The 17,386-nt window shown below is 38.2% G+C and overlaps 1 protein-coding gene across 12 annotated transcripts in view, besides 1 other annotated feature; it reads left to right on the top strand.

Annotated features, from left to right (window-relative positions):
• The window catches only part of TMCC1 (transmembrane and coiled-coil domain family 1), a 245,920-nt gene that overhangs the window by 53,447 nt on the left and 175,087 nt on the right, over positions 1-17,386 (top strand). For 3 of the 12 annotated variants that reach the window (NM_001349268.2, NM_001017395.5, NM_001349264.2), the window contains 2 exons: positions 7,439-7,491; positions 11,757-12,462. The exons of 1 other annotated variant lie outside the window; for it this stretch is intronic. In NM_001349268.2, the coding sequence (NP_001336197.1) occupies positions 11,887-12,462 (576 nt within the window). In that variant the 5' untranslated portion in view covers positions 7,439-7,491; positions 11,757-11,886. Of the gene's footprint in view, positions 1-1,204; positions 1,368-7,438; positions 7,492-11,756; positions 12,463-17,386 lie in introns of all 12 variants that reach the window. 8 more of the 12 variants (NM_001128224.3, NM_001349270.2, NM_001349275.2 and 5 more) reach the window with 6 other exon arrangements.
• Positions 8,073-8,227: a silencer, noted in NCBI's record as "fragment chr3:129550881-129551035 (GRCh37/hg19 assembly coordinates)". NCBI's record gives its function as "represses an EF-1alpha promoter that drives an FKBP-Casp9 reporter gene in an ReSE screen in phorbol 12-myristate 13-acetate-treated (for megakaryocytic differentiation) K562 erythroleukemia cells {active_cell/tissue: K562(+PMA)}" and the evidence as "EXISTENCE:reporter gene assay evidence [ECO:0000049][PMID:32094911]".

Here is a 17,386-nt window from a genome sequence, read left to right as displayed (position 1 = left end):
GCCTTGACCTCCTGGGTTCAATCAATCCTCCCACCTCAATGTCCTAAGTAGCTGGACTTACAGGCATATGCCACCATGCCCAGCTATATTTTGTATTTTTGTAGAGAAAGGGTTTCACCATGTTGCCCAGGGTAGTCTTGGGCTCCTGGGCTCAAGCGATCCTTCTGCCTCAGCCTCCCAAAGTGCTGGGATTACAGGTGTGAGCCATTACACCCGGCCTGGTCTTGCTTTTTTTTTTCTCCCCCAGTCTGACAATCTGTTTTTTAACTGGTAAGACTATTTACATTTAAAGTGATTATTAGTATAATTAGATGAAAACCTACCATCTTGCTAGCTCTTCTCTATTTGTTGCATTTGTTGTTTGTTTCTTTTTTTATTTTTTGAGACAAGGTCTCTCTCTCACCCAGGCTGGAGTACAGTGGCATAATTATGGTTCACTGTAGCCTGGACCTCCTGGGCTCAAGTGATTCTCTCACCTCGGTCTCCCCAGTAGCTGGTACTACAGGTGCACACCACCATGCCTGGTGAATTTTTAAATTTTTCGTAGATATGGGGTCTCACTATGTTGCCCAGGCTGGTCTCAAACTCTTGGGCTCAAGCGATCCTCCTACCTCTTGAGTAGCTGGGACTATAGGTGTGTGCCACCATGCCTAGCTAATTTTTCTATTTTTTTGTAGAGAAGAGGTCTTGCCGTGTTGCCTAGGCTGGTCTTAAACTTCTGAACTGAAATAATTCTGCTGCCTCAGCCTCCTGAGTAGCTGGGACTATAGGCATGCGCCTGTGTGGTTTTTTTCCTACTGCCTTCTTTGGTGTGATTTTTTTTTTAATTCCATTTTACTTTATTGACTTATCACTTAGATTTCTTTAAAAAGGTTTTTAGTGGTTGCTTTTTTGTTTACATTATACATTTTAAAATAACCTGAGTTTTTCAGGTGTTTTGCCACTTCGCATTTAGTTAAAGTATGGTTATAGTGTGTTCCCAGTTCTTCCCTCTTTTCCCTTTTGCCATTGTTGTTAAGCGTTTTACTTTTACCTGTGGGGTACTTATCCAATACATTGTTACTGCTTTAAGCAATTATCTTTTAGAGCAATGAAAAATAAAAAAATTATACTTTACCTTCATTTATTCTTCATTTTGTAGATTCAAGCTTCTCACTTTTATATATTTTTCTACCTGAAGGACTTCTGTTAATATTTCTTATAGGATGGGTCTCCTGGCAGTGAATTCTCTATTTTTGCTTGTCTGGAGGAAAGCCTTTATTTTGTACGTATGAAGGATATTTTCACTGGATGTAGAATACTGGATGGGCAGTTTTCTTTTCAGCACTTTAAAGTTGTCACTCCACTGTCTTACGAAGTTTCTGATGGTAAGTTTATTATAATCTTATATCTTTATTCCTCTGTATGTAACATATTTTCCCCTCTTTGACTGCCTTCAAGAGCCTTTGGCTTTCAGCAGTTTGAATATGATATGCCTAGATATCCTTTTTTTTTTTTTTTTTTTTTTTTTTTGAGACAGAGTCTTGCTCTGTCACCCAGGCTAGAGTGCATTGGCGCGATCTCGGCTCACTGCAACCTCCACCTCCCAGGTTCAAGTGATTCTCCTGCCTCAGCCTCCTGAGTAGCTGGGATTACAGGCACGCACCACCACACCTGGCTAATTTTTGTATTTTTAGTAGAGACGGGGTTTCACCCTGTTGGTCAGGCTGGTCTCAAACTCCTGACCTTGTGATCTGCCCGTCTCGGCCTCCCAAAGTGTTGGATTACAGGCATGAGCCACCGTGCCCAGCCCCCTTTTTTGGTATTGTTTGGCATTTTCAGTTTCTTTTTCTTTTTTTCTTTTTCTTTTATTTTTTGAGACAGGGTCTTGCCCTGTCATCCAGGCTGGAATGCAGTGGGACGCTCACGGCTCTTTGCAGCCTCGACCTCCAGGGCCCAAGCAGTCCTCCCAGGGCCCAGGCTTCTCAAGTAGCTGGGACCACAGGCATGTGCCATCATTCCCGGCTGATTTTTTTGTTTATTTTTAGGGATGAGGTCTCCCTATGCTGCCCAGGCTGGTCTCCTGGGCTCAAGCCATCCTCCCGCCTCAGCCTTCCAAAGTGCTGGGATTATAGGCATGAGGCACCATGCCCAGCCTGTTTTCAGAGTTTCTTATTGTTACTCTGTAGTTTAGTGTCTTATCACTAATTTCGGTAAGTTCTTGGCCATTCAAATGTTTCTTCTCTGTTGTCTCTTCTTCTGGACTTCTGCCACAGCTGTTGTATGTTCTCCAGGTGGGAAAATCTCTTTTCTCTTTATATTTCAGTTTGGGTAGTTTCTACTAGCCTATTTTCAAGTTTACTGATTCTTTTTTCAGCTGTTTCAAGTCTACTTGATAAGCCTCTCAAAGGCATTTGTCATTACTATGTCTTTATTTCTAATTTGGTTTCCACTTGATTTTTTATAATTTTCATTTATCTCTGAAATTACCTGTCTGATCTCATATGTTGTCTACCTCTTTCATTAGAGTTTTTACTGTATTAATCACGTTCTAATTTACTGTCTTGTAGTTCCAAAATTTATGTCATACGTGGGTCTGGCTCTGATAATTGCTTTGTCCCTTTGAGCTGTGTTTTTATTACTGCCTTTGCCATGCTTCATAATTTTTGTTTAAAGCTGAATGTGCTGTATATGACAGGAGATACTGAGGTATATGCTTGATATGCTTACTGAAGACTGCTAGTTTCCTGCAAGTCCTTTAGGGTGGAGATTTGTGTTAATCTGTTCAGGCATTGGGCTGTGTTTGATGTTTATTATTGCAATGGTTACTGGAGTTGACATTTATTGTTGCCATGGGAACTAGAGGCTTCAAATTTTCCCAGTAATACCTTGTTCTTGTCTTCCTGCTTGGCTTTGGGTTTTCCCTTTGTGCTGTTTCTCCGTGAGAGTCTGAGTCTTGCAGCTTTCTCAGGTGTATTCCATTGTTTTTACTCAAAGCCTGTCAGTTAGTGGAGGGTGAGGGGAGTTCTGTGATGTTCTGGTTAAGCCTCAGATTTATGCAGATAGTAGAACCTGGGTCTTGGGGGTGTGGCCTTCAGAAGACTATTCCCTTCTTTTTCCCAACTGCTATGGGGATTCAATAGTATCCTCAAGCTAAGGTTTTTTTCAGCTCTTTCCGCCTGCATTTAAGGCTATTGCTGTTTTAGAGAAACAGTGAAGATGGATAAGGGTGAAAATTGGGTGTCAGCTTCCTTTCCTTCCTCCAGCTGTAGTGGGATTCCACCAGAAATTGCTCCTTGCTGATTAAGCCTTTTGTTCCACAGGGAGATAAGGGAAATAGGCTGGTTTGGTATTGTTGCTTGCTCTTCCCTCATTAGCTCCACGGGGGTGGAGATGGAGGAGCTTTCTCTACTTCCTCTCTGCTTCCCCCTGCATTAGAGAGCCTTTTGAGGTTCCTGGAGGAAAAGCCCACAAGAGGATGGGAACTCTCCTATGATTGCAGCCCTCGAGGACTTCACACTCTGATTCTAACCTACATTCAGTCTTCAGCAGTTTGTCAGAATTTTTGGTTTAATCTTCCTATCTGCACTGGGATTCTTCCATGCTCTTGGGACTGTTTCCTTTGGTCAGAGACAAGGCTTTTAGGTGCCTGTCTAGCCTTAGCTGTTGCTCCATAAATGTTGTATTGCCTGGAGGCTGGGATAGCAGTAAACAAAAAAGGAAAAAGTGATTTCCTCCCAGCTCTTTTTGAACCTCAGGAATCCACATTGTGGTCAGAGAATATACTGTGTATTATTTCAGTTTTTTTAAAATTTGTGAGACTTGCCTTAGGGTTCAACATATGGTCAATTTTTGTAAATGATCTCTTTCTGCTTGAAAGAGTATATTTTGCAATTATTGGATGCTGTGTCATATTAATGTCTTATTTAGGTCCAGTTTGTTCATGCTATTCAAATCTATATTTCTACCCTCTCCCTTTATTTGAGTCATTTGTTCTATCACCTACTGAGAAGAATACAAAATTTATTATGATTATGGATTTTTTCTCCCACTTCTCTTTATAATTCTGCTGTTTTGCTTTATATATTTGGAGGCTATGTTATTACATGCATACAAATTTAAAATTGTTGCATCTTCCTGATAAATTATACCTTTATAGGTATTAATGGCTTTTGTGCATTGAAGTCTACTTTGAATACAATTAATACAGCTAGAGCAGCTGTGTTTCAGTTTGTTAGTATGACTTTTTCCCATACTTTGAACTATTTTCTGTAATTTTAAGTGTGATTCTTGATTAATTTTTTTTTAAAAATTGATTTTTGTCATCTGGTCCAATTACATTTAATGTAATTACTGAGTTATTTGAATTTATGTTTGACATCTTATATTTTGCTGCTTAAATATGTTTTATTTGTTCTGTAATCTTGTTCTCTCTTCTTTTTTGGATTTGAGTATTTTAATTCTTTCTCCTTTCTATTTAGTGTGTTTGTTTTCCCTCTGGAGTAACATTAGTTACCAGTTACCTGTCCACCATTCCAGAATGAAATAGTCTGTGCATATGCAGTATGTACTCACTCCTTTAAAAGTAGTAGCATGATATATACATGGTTCTGCACTTTGGATTTTTTAAATAAATACACTTTTTAAAAACATATTGCAGATTGCTTGCCGCTTTTACACTCTTGGACAGTACAAGAACCTTGGAACCCTGTGACTCCCAAGTATATGCTCTTGATTATGTATTTTTGTTCTTTATAGAAACCTCATCACACGTTATTATTGCTTTAATAATTAAATGTTGTTTGATATATCTCTCTTTCTGGATTCTAAAACAGAGTATCTGTCTCCTTGGTGATGGGTTGCTAGGTGGGGCTGGTTCAGCTAGATAATTAGGAAAAACTAAGCATATGCTAACAGATGGGAAAAGCCTGTCATTAAAATATATATATATATATATGAAAGAGTGAGAGAAACCGTGACTGAATTTTTTTTATGTTTGGAAAAGAAAAACTTATTCACAGCATGAAAACACAGCCATGAATAGGAAACAGTGGTCATAATAAGATCTTCACTAAGGACCTTAGGAAAAAGGATTTCAAGAGGATCAAAGGAAAGAGGGAGAAGCTTTCTTGGGTAGTTAAAACGTTTCCATTTTATTGTGGCATAAATGAGGTGCAAAAGAAAGGAAAACTGAAATTTCATAGTTGTAACATCTTCGGCCAGGGTGGTGAGAGAGTAGAGAAATATTTAAGCAGGTCTAAAGGAATAAGAGACATCTTACCAAGGCTGGATGCAAGGAAATAGCTCTCACAACCGTCTAGAGGGAGCCCATAGGATTTGCTAAAAGGCAATCAATTTCTTTGGGGCTAAATGAAGTATGGATGACATTTAATTGTTGAAATAAGATGCAGGAGGATGAATTGGATGATTGTACTCGTAATACGTTTCCAGCTGAGAACTATAAATACTCATTTTATCAGATGCTTTTTTAGCATCTGTCGCAATGGTATGAGGAATTCCTGTTGACTCTTCAGTACTTTGTGCGCTCATTCCTTTCCATTAACTTTTTTATTCCATTCCCAGCCATACTAATGGGCTCAGCTCTTCCTTGTCATCTTTTTCTAAATTATAAGTTCCTTACCTAATTTCTCTGATTATCATCTTTCCCTCCTCTCATGCATCTTACATGATCATTAGGCCTAAAACATGTCTTATATCCTGGAAATCCTATAGTGGATCTTTATTTTCTGTTATATCAAGTCAAAATTTTAGTCAGTAGACCTGTTTTGGCCTTTAGGTTTTTCAACTGTAAATTGGTTGGTTTCAACAACCCCCTTGTCTTGTGGGTTGTTGTGAGGATTAGAGATAATGTTCACCTAAGTGCAGTTTAATGCAATTTAATATAAATACTCAATAATTACCTAACATTTGAAGCCCTCTTTAACTTCCCAGCCTTACCCATTTAATCTTATTTCCCCTATTCAGAAATGTGTATCCACCAGTATGGTCCATCTGACCTCTTTACAGTATGCCCAAACATACTGTGATTACTGCCTGCTGGCCGAAGGTATTGGCCCACATCTTTCTGCTTATTTATCCATTGTCTCATCCTTCAGAGCTCAGTAAAAGCTGCTGCTTTTTTCATCAGGCTTTCCCAAACAAATCCAATTCTAACTGATCTTCCTGACTTTTAATGGTAATTGCAGTCTTTCTTACACACTTCACCACTTGTTTAGTTTTGTGCTGTTTTCTGTATGTTTCATGTATGGACATCTTATTTTCTGTCCTAGATTAATTCCTCGAGGGCAGGGTCATATGCTTTATTTGGTCTGTATAATGCTAGGTACATGGCAGATGTCTCAAAAATACTTGTCTAATTAAATTGCTTCTCTGGTAATACCCATCAGAAGCAAGTTTTCCAGGAAAAATTTAATTTTGGTGCTTCCAATTCTCAGTTGTACATGGTGGCTCTGGTTTGTAATTTAAAAAAATTTAATGAATACTGAAGATTAGCCAAAAAATAAATAGAAATAATAAAAACATTTTTTTTTGGTAGAGACATGGGGTCTTGCTGTGTTGCCCAAGCTGGTCTTAGAACTCTTGGCCTCAAATGAGCCTTCTTGCCTTGGCCTCCCAAAGTGCTGGGATTACAGGTGTGAGTCACTCCACATTGCCAAGATATGTTTTGTTCTTCTTGTTGTTGTTGTTTTAAAATTGAGACAGGGTCTCGCTTTTGCTCCCAGGCTAGAGGGCAGTGGTGCAGCCATAGCTCGCTGTAATCTCCAGCTCCGGGGCTCAAGACATCCTCTTGCCTCAATCTCCCAAGTAGCTGGGACTACAGGTGTGCACTACCATGCCTGGCTAATCTTTAAAAATTGTTTTAGAGATGGGGTGTCACTGTTGCCCAGGCTGATCTCAAATTCCTGGGCTCAGATGATCTTCCTGCCTCGGAGTGCTGGGATTACAGGCATGAGCCATCATGCCTGGCCTAAGATAGGATTTTTAGAATTGCCTTTGAATAGAGAATGGCAGATACAGATTAGGAAACTACTTGAAAAAAAATTTTACTTATAAAATTGTGGTGTTTTCATGTACCTGTTTTATATTTCATGTTACTTTAAGATTAGAATTAATGGAATATCCATTCCTTATTCAGTATGATAATGTTAAAATATTTATTGCTTCTTAAAATATTTGCCACTTTATCTTTTTCAAGTGCTAAGTTAATATTTTTTCCAGAATACTTTCTTTCTTGATTATAATTATTCTTGATTATACTTTAAAAAATTAGAAAATACTGAAAAGTACTAGAAAAAAACAAACCCTACTTCTACCAGTGAGAGATGAGGGCTATTAACATTTTGTTGGATATACTTTCAGTCGTTTTCTGCATATCTGTAAAAGGTAAGTTTCCCCATCTAAGTTTCTCACCTTGTAATTCTTAATATTTGCTTTTCAGCTTTTCCTAAAAGGATTGTACACCTTAGAAGTGCTTAAGGAAGAGTGATGAAGGCAAGTATCCAACTCTTTGTAGTCAGTGAAATTTAACTTGGTTCATGTCCAAACCAAAAAAGCTTTGGTCACCATATTTATCAAAAAACTAAAAAATTGGAAAGAAAAACTTAAGGGAAAAAAAGACAAAGCAATTTGTATATAATTTGCTGTGATTTTGTGGAATACCCTCCTAAATGGTTGATAGATTTTAAAAACATAATTTTTTCACTTATTTCTGATACTAATTTAGAACAACTTGTTTTCTGAGTGTGAGCTAATGGCATATTAGGTCTTCAGTAAAATTGTGCTAGAAAAGTTAATTGTTGAAAATTCTGAGAACTTACCAAATTATTTGAAATGCCTGACTGGTAGGTGGCTGCGTTTTTTGTCCCCCTTCCTCACCTTTTGCTCCTTCTACCTCTCCCCTTTCACTCCTTCGACCTCTCCCCTTTTTCCTGTGTCCTTTTGCTCCTTTTTCTCTTTCTCCCTCTGGTTTACTTATAATAACTTTACTTTTCAGAGAAGCTGAGTGAATAAAAGAGTAGCCAGCATTTCCTTCTTACCAAAAAGCATTTGATAGGCTTATGCAGTTAAACTCGTTTGTGTTAAACCAGGGATCTAAAATTAGTTAGTTGGGTGGGGCGCGGTGACTCATGCCTATAATCCTAGCACTTTGGGAGGCTGAGGAGGGTGGATCACTTGAGGTCAGGAGTTCGAGACCAGCCTGGTCAACATGGCGAAACCCCATGTTTTTACTAAAAATACAAAAATTAGCCAGCTGTGGTGGTGGGCGCCTGTAATCCCAGCTACTTGAGAGGCAGAGGTAGGAGAATTGCTTGAACCCAGAAGGCAGAGGTTGCAGTGAGCTGAGATTGTGCCACTGCACTCCAGCCTGGGTGGCAGGGGGAGACCCTGTCTCTAAATAAATAAATAGTTAATTGGGGAATTTTATAAACTGAGCAACAGTTGTTCATATTCATTTGAGCCTCTGTAAGACATACAGAAGAAAAGAAGGGTGTCCCTGTACAACTTTGAGACTATTGAATTTCTTTTGTGCTTGCATTCTTACTGTCAGCAATTTTATAGAGTTAATTATTGCAACATCACTATTGTTGGTATTTTTGCCACAGCATTTGACTTTGGTGGCCTTAAAGATTTTCTATTGGCCTACAGAAAATTTTAGTAGCCTTCAAAACCTTAACTAGTTTCTTAGTGCTGCTATTATGCAGATGATAGCTACAAGTGTAAGTACCATATTACGTTTTATAATCAGTACAGTAGATTGTTTTTCAAAATTATTACCTTAAAACTTGATGTTTAAAGCTCAATTTAGGTTTCTTTAGGGCTGCATGCTAAGTGAGGCTATGTGCTGGTATGATTAAGGTAAGTTTTGCCTTTGAAAATCCGATAATTTATTACTGTTTTGTTGCTTATTCTTCGTAGCTGCGAAGATAGTCTTGGCATGGAAATTAACACCTTACTCCCAGCTTTTCCCAGGAAATGCTAACATTTCCTTGTAATCAATCATCATTTTGAATTATTTGAAAATAAATGATTTGGCCGGGTGCAGTGGCTCACACCTGTAATCTCAGCACTTTGGGAGGCTGAGGCGGTTGGATCACTTGAGGTCAGGAATTTGAGACCAGCCTGGCCAACATGGTGAAACCGTATCTCTCTAAAAATACAAAAATTAGCTGTGCATGGTGGCACGTGCCTGTAATCCTAGCTACTCTGGAGGCTGAGGCAGGAGAATTGCCTGAACCCAGGAGGCAGAGGCTGCAGTGAGCTGAGATTGTGCCACTGCGCTCCAGCCTGGGTGAAAGAGCAAGACTCCGTCTCAAAAAAACAAAAACAAAAATAAATTGTTTTACAAATGCTTGTGAAATCTCAAATGAATTTACTGATATTCAAAATGTACCACATTCTCTATTTTTTAAATAGGCAGCAACCAGATGACCAGTTGATTAGTTTATAATAGTGCCCAAATAAGTAGATTTGCTGAGTAATAAATTCCTAGTACCTTTGCATATGAGACAAGTAGAATGATCCTCAGCTAACCTTGACATCATTCCTTTATTCTTGCTGTCTTTTAATCTCATGGGATAAACATATTTTATACATTTTACTTCCAACAACAACAACAAAAATCAGTTGTATTAGCTAATAATGTGCAAATAGAGGAAAAAGTAAACTACTTTTTCAGTACTGTTCTGCTGCTTTCACACCCTCCCATCTTCTCAGGATCTAAATAGCCCAGTGCAAGAAGAGATGAGTTGATACACACTGATAGGGGATTATTTTGGTTACATTAGCCCTTTTCCTCTGAGAAACTCAATTCTTTCAGTAACTATTAGCCAGCAAGACAAACTCATGAGGAATGGTGAGATAATTACTATTTTTTTTAAAAATCAGAGTAACATTGTATTATGTGTTTATTTCATATTTGGTTAGAAGGGGATAATTAAATATATAAACTATTGGCAAAATTTTTGCCCACAAGGAGCACCAGAAAACCACACCAGAGGCCAAGACAGTCATTGATCTAATAAGGGCAAGGGTTTCTTTCTTGGTTCTCCCAAAGGGAAAGATATGAACAAAACCAATGCACAATCAGGAAAAGGGTAACAGGCCATAGTGGGATGGCTAGATTTCAGTGGAGCCACAAAGAATTTGGGTGAAAGGCAATGAAACTTCCATTCTCATGGTTGTTATTCATTTGCCTAATTTAGGAACAAACAATTTTGTGGCATTTAGAAAGTAGGAAGGTACTAGAGAGAGACAAATGTCTTTATCCCTGTCTCCCTGTTTATGCTCCTCTGTTATGAAGAGATTAGGTAATGGAATCACAGGCATGAAAGAATATGGACAGTGGAGCCACAATGACAGTGCCCATAAAATATTTGAAAAAAGTCTTCTGAGAGTAGTCATCAGGAACAAAACTTTAGTGAGTTTGCATTCCTGTTCCACTAAACTCTAGTAGCCTTGAGTTCACAGGGAACTCTTTTATTCAGCTAATTTATGGCTTTCTAGATTGCCACTTGGTGGCAGCAAGTCCACATATTCCCAGAACAGGAGCACCATGGTGCTTCATTGGTAGTGGCTTAAATTGTTGAAGTACTTGGTAGTGTAGGGAGTTTTAAAGTCCTTTAAACAAAAATTTAAAGAAAAATATGGAAATAACCTCCTACATCATATTTTGCATTCTGTAGCAGCTTCTGTGCATGTATATAATTTTGTCTTATATATTTGCACAAATACAGTACAAAAATAAACACTTTCTATTAGGAAAAATCTCATCATCTCCCATCCCCCCCTCCCTTTTTTTTTTTTTTTTTTTTTGCATGTGATTTTAGTAACCATGGCAGTTGCGTTGATTTTACATCTCTTAGTTTCAGCTTCCTTTTAATTTCTTGCATTTAATACTGGTATATGTTTGCTGTTTGACCTTTCTTTTTCTCTACTTTTCTATCCTACCCAGTTACTTTGCTTTTGAGTTTGTATGGATATATGGGAAGCTTCTGTCAGGGATGACACTATAGAGAAAGGGATTTCTTTGAATCTCCTTTCTTGATAGCTGGTACTGAGCAAAGCTCTAGTCTCTGATTCTGATTCTGTCTGAACCATTCACTCATATGGTGCCAGAAAGGTCATTTGTGCTTCAGCAGAGAATTCAACTTACAGGATTTTTATTTCCATTCTCTTCTCAAAAGAGCAAACCTGTCATCTCTAGTTACCAGTGAACTTGATGAATATGAATGGTAACACACTTTTCCATTAAAATCCACATATAGTTAGATTGGGATATCCATTTCTCACTGTTGTTCTTTGATTATACTGAGTTTCAGCCTGTGAATAATTAACTGTGGTTATGAATGAGAGGGATTAAATTGCCTCAGCTAGAGTAAACCTATTGGATGGTCTCTTCTCTTGATTTCCCAAGCAATGGCTGTTCTGTCAACTACCATTATAGTGTCCATTCCAAGATGGCTCCTCTAATATCTAATTCTGTATATATTGAATCTTGTAGGGATTTTTGCTTTTGAACATTGCTGTTTTAATTTCCTATGGACTTGTTCTGGGCTTTTTCTCTCATTCTAAAAAATAATCATTACCCACTATCTAGAAAACTGTCTTTTAATCTTCTGATTAAAGATTGCTTAATGATAGTGCCTATTTGTTTGGCCAGTAGCATGTTTTTCTTTGTTTTAACACTGGAGTTTCTGCATGGATTTATAATATAAGGTTTTTTTTTTGTTTTTTTGTTTTTTTGTTTTTAACATTAGATAGGCATGAAGCCTTCGTCTCACAGCTGCATGCGTAGTCACTGTTGAAGCAAATGCCTACCTAATTTGACACTCTTGGTGTGTTTAAAAAATTTTTTTGAGTTTGCAAATAAGCATATTAAGTCTACTGATGGAGCCTTCGGGCAGTGAACAGTTATTTGAGGACCCTGATCCTGGAGGCAAATCCCAAGATGCAGAGGCCAGAAAGCAGACAGAATCAGAACAAAAATTGTCTAAAATGACCCACAATGCTTTGGAGAACATTAACGTGATTGGCCAAGGCTTGAAGCATCTCTTCCAGCACCAGCGCAGGAGGTCATCAGTGTCTCCACATGATGTGCAGCAAATTCAGGCAGATCCAGAACCTGAAATGGATCTGGAAAGCCAGAACGCATGTGCTGAGATTGATGGTGTCCCCACCCACCCCACAGCTCTGAATCGTGTCCTGCAGCAGATTCGAGTGCCACCCAAGATGAAGAGAGGGACAAGCTTGCATAGTAGGCGGGGCAAGCCAGAGGCCCCAAAGGGAAGTCCCCAAATCAACAGGAAGTCTGGTCAGGAGATGACAGCTGTTATGCAGTCAGGCCGACCCAGGTCTTCATCCACAACTGATGCACCTACCAGCTCTGCTATGATGGAAATAGCTTGTGCTGCTGCTGCTGCTGCTGCTGCATGTCTACCAGGAGAGGAGGGAACTGCGGAGCGGGTAAGTTTGTAAGATTTTGTTTTTCTGTTAACTTACTGTTTTTCATACCTAGGACTCTCCAGACTTTCCTTTGGTAACTAAAAAGATATCTCAGCAAATACCTTAAAGTTGTGGTAAAAGAATTTTTCCCCTTTTCAAATGGGTAAATAATAATTATAGCTAATGAATGAATGCTTAGAATTATATTCCTATTTCCTTCCTAACATAGTGCTATATTTTATTTTATCCTTTCGTTAAAACCTTAAGTATATTTCATGTATTCTTTCTGTATATTTGAGGGTCAGTTTTATGGTAGAGCAATAAAGATGCTTTGTTTCTTATTGTTTTGATTTTGCACATGGAGATGGCTTTCTTACATTAATGAATGTAGTGAATAAAGTTCTAGAATCTGAGTTTGTGCTTACCATGGAAGTACACTAAGTTGGTTATAATTTTCATATACTTTGTAGTACATCAGCAGCATTCATTTTACATTTTGCATGCCACAGTAGAGCATATACATTATTATAGTGTACTATTAATAAACAGATTGTTTTGGGTTTACCCAAAACCAGGCATATTAAATCTAGGAGAAACTTTTTCCATATAACTCTCAGTTATGGTTAGTTGAGGCACATAGAAGAAATAGTCCTGCTAGGGTTTGAAAACTCAGGTACGCGTAGCCATGCAGGTAGTGACAATGAGTGAACTTAGGTGTTATGGAGCTTGGACAAACTGAGGAGTTCCTGCTTTGTTTAACAGAGGCAATGTCTTAGCTTTAGCTGATGGTTGAAATTTAGTACTGTGGGCACAGTCTTGCCAGAGCTTCTGATTTTTTTCAAGAGAAACTGGAAATCTAGATGGGAAATCTCTTGATTTTTAACAGATATGCAAGCCACACTGAACACATTTGTGGGCTAGGTCTGCCTTGTAAGTTACCATTCAACTATCTTTCAGCATTACTTTTGTGTATTCCTTAAGGTTTTTGTTTGATCGTTTTCATTCTGTGTCTGCTTGCGGTACAGTTAGGTTTTTTTTTATTGGATATTAAGTTACCTGGAAATATAAATACTGAGTCTAGTACCTTAAACTTTTCCTAAGGTTTTTTTTTTATTGGATATTAAGTTACCTGGAAATATAAATATTGAGTCTAGAACTTTAAACCTTTCCTACCTAAATATGATATTTAAAACATATAGATAATGGACAGTAAATCACTTTAAACCTGTCAAAATAATGATGTGAATTAAAATTCAAAAAATTTAAATGGGGAAAAGTACCACATATTTATGTGTATATTCATTTTATTTTTTTTGGAGACAGGGTCTTACCCTGTCACCTAGGCTGGGGTGCAGTGGTGTGATCGTGGCTCACTGCAGCCTTAACCTCCCCAGACTCAGGTGATCATCCCACCTCAGCCTCCTGAGTAGCTGGTACTACAGGCGCATGCCAGCATGTCTGGCCAATTTTTTTTTTTTTTTTTTTGTAGAGAGGAGATTTTGCCTTGTTGCCCAGGCCAGTCTCAAACTCCTGAGTTCAAGTGATCCATCCACCTCAGCCTCCCAAAGTGCTGAGGTTACAGGCATGAGCCACCGTGTCCAGCCTATATTAGTTATCTTTGAAATAAAAAGAATATTTGGTCACTGATTACCCAAACTAGTTGGCAGTAAAGATTGACAGTGCAGCTATGTACCTTGTCTTAATCTTCAGCCTTTACCAGAGAACATTAAGGAATTTACAGCTAGTGATTCTGGGATTATAGACTTTTATGTTAAAAAGAAAAAGTGTAAGTAAAGCAGATTTTATTGGAAAACTTCAAGAGAAAGAGGGCAAAGTGAGAACTTTTTTCATAACATTGTTTCTTTAATGCTTTGTCAACTTTATTAGCATATGCTTACAGTAAAATCCACCAGTTTTAAGTGTACATCTTGACTAGTTTTGAAAAATGTGTAGTTTTATAGTAACACAGTCATTATATAGAACATTCCCATTACCCCCAAATAATGATTTCTCATGCCCCTTGGCTGCAGTCAGTCCCTCTTACCCAACCGGTGGCCTCTGGTAGCCGCTGATCTGCTTTCTATTGCTATAGTTTTGCCTTTTCTAGAATTTCCTAAAAAATTAGATCATGCAGTCTTTTGTGTTTGACTTCTTTCATTTAGTGTAATACTTTTCAACTGTTGTTGATTCAACTGTTGTTGAATGTGTTGATAGTTTGTTCCTTTTTATTGCTGCACTCCAGGCTGGGCAACAAAGCAAGACCCTGTCTCAACCCCCTACCACCCACCCCCACCAAAAAAGATAGATGTAAACTTCGGAGCTTCTAAAGGGAAAGTTTGGAAGTTATGGATTCAGGTTCTCTATTAAGGTTAATATCACTTCAGAGCTCACTATATCATCTTCTTATTTATAGCCAGATTTAGGAAAAGCAGTGTATATTAGGCTGCAATGAGGGAAGCTTTTTGGATTACTTATAGGCAGAAGGAAAGGGAAATTTTTGTAATGCCTGGCTGTACCTGGAAGATAGAGAAAAGTGGAAGAAGTTTGAGGGAGATGTATGTGTTCAAATAAAAAGATTTCTAAGTTTGAATTAGTTGAACTGTAAGCAAAACTAGTAATGCAGGTGTACTGTTCTCCCAGTGGGGAAGAAATGAAGCGGGGAAAAGGATAATTCATTTTGTTGACCACCAGGTGGTGCCCTAGGTGAGGATTGGTAGGTGGAAGTGAGGGGATGGATGCCTGACAGGACATTGATTAACCCCGGGGTGATAATTTAATTAGTACAGGAAGTCATTAGGATGTGGGCTAGCTTGAGCACAGTGACTATTAAATAGTGATAGTGCTCTTATAAATATTGAGCTGAATTGATAACTGTGGAAGTGGAATGGACAATAGAAGAACAGGTAGGATTTGATAACAATGTTAGAATAAAAAATTTTAAAATCTGAAGTTTGCTTGGGAGAATCAGAAAATATTTTCCATTTCCACTAAACAGTTGAAAAATTGTATTTTTTAAGGAAAACCATTTAGTTTCAGTTGGGTGGCTGACACCTACTATGAAGAGAATGTCTTATAGGCCTTTAATAATACGGAACTGGAACAGTGGGCATAAGTTAGAAATGAAGATGTATTTTGGCTTTCTCATTGTTCTCCCTTAAAGATACTTTACGTAGCAAAACTTGATTGCCAAAGCAAGTAACTTACAGGTTTATTGACCCTACCTCTGAAAGCCAGAATGTTTATGGCTATGTCCTTTCCCCCAATACTGAGTTTCCTTTAATATAAATATGTATTCATTGGCCCCAAAGATATTTTGATTATCCTTAATGATCTCATGTGGGCATCAAATATAGTTCTTGTAAGAGTAGAAGTGAAGGTACAGATAAGCTAACTGTTCCTAACCTTGGTAAATTTGTTATGCAAAGTGTAATATCATAGGGATGCTTCTTAAAGTTTGTTTCTGTTTGTTTGGTTGGTTGGTTTTTTTTGACACAGAGTCACGCTCTGTCACCCAGGCTGGAGTGCAGCGGCATGATCTCTGCTCACTGCAACCTCCACCTCCCAGTTTCAAGCAATTCTCCTGCCTCAGCCTCCAGAATAGCTGGGATTACAGGCACACACCACCATACCCAGCTAATTTTTGTATTTTTAGTAGAGACAGGGTTTTACCATTTTGGCCACGCTGGTCTCAAACTCCTGACCTCAAGTGATCCACCTGCCTCAGCCTCTCAAAGTGCTGGGATTACAGGCATGAGCCACCGCGCCCAGCCAAAGTTCATTTGTTTGTTTTTTAAGTCTGAGTTACTTTCTTTCTGTTCAGAGCCTTTTATGATGAAGGCTCAACGTAATGGAAAGTAGAGTTCACTCTTTAACCTCTTTTTCCTTTATACAACAAAATGGTCCAGGCTTTAGGGTAATCAGACTCCTAAACATATATAGTATGTGACCTAATTTCTGCTTTTCTCTTTTATTCATCAGAGATTTGGGTACTTTATCAATAGCTTTGAATCTTAGGAGTAGAGGAGGAGAATTTTAGTATCCAAAGTCCACTACTCTTTGGTTTATCCAGAACGCTAATATAAGGTCTTGCTTCCAAAGAGTCATAGATAGATAGACGGAGGGATAGGCCAAGATTGTGTTTTGTGTAAGGTAATTACTATTGCAGACTGTTTTTTTGTTTGTTTGTTTGTTTGTTTTTCAGGGATCTCAGTACAGCATTTTTTCTCAAGAAAGACAACTTTGGCAAGTTAGCCCAATGTTGAACTAAGTCGGTGTTTGTTAAAAATTGACTTATTTTGATGTTATCATAGCCTATGATCCTGTTGGTCAATGTGAGCAGGCTAGATTTTATTTTTGAACTTTTGTACTTCAGGGTCACAATTAATATACATTATGCGTTAATAGGTGTCTCTCACTTTGTATATATATCAACTTTGGGAATATGTTCCTAAACAAAATTTTAAATATATAAAATGTTATTTTTGTTTTGTTTTGTTTGAGATGGAATTTCGCTCTTGTTGCCCAGGCTGGAGTGCGGTGGCGTGATCTCGGCTCACTTCAACCTCCACCTCCTGGGTTCAAGCGATTCTCCTGCCTCAGCCTCCCAAGTAGCTGAGATTACAGGCGCACATCACCACGCCTGTATAATTTTTATATTTTTAGTAGAGATGGGGTTTCACCATGTTTGTCAGGCTGGTCTTGAACTCGTGACCTCAAATGATCCACCTGCCTCAGCCTCTCAAAGTGCTGAGATTACAGGCCTGAGCCACTGCGCTGGCCTAAAATGTTTTATTTTAAAAATTAAAGTTATGGCAAATCTTTTTATTTTGTCATAGTAACATCTTACTGGGATAAGAAACCCTGACTCAGATTTCAAAACTGTAATAATGAGGAAGCTAAGAATTCAAAAGTCTTGAGTTGCAAAATGAGTCCCTTGCACCACAAA

Source organism: Homo sapiens, chromosome 3 (genome assembly GCF_000001405.40).
Source record: "Homo sapiens chromosome 3, GRCh38.p14 Primary Assembly".
Classification (NCBI taxonomy): Eukaryota; Metazoa; Chordata; class Mammalia; order Primates; family Hominidae; genus Homo; species Homo sapiens.
The sequence above is the reverse complement of the archived record's forward strand: the minus strand, read 5'-3'. Positions and strand labels throughout refer to the sequence as shown.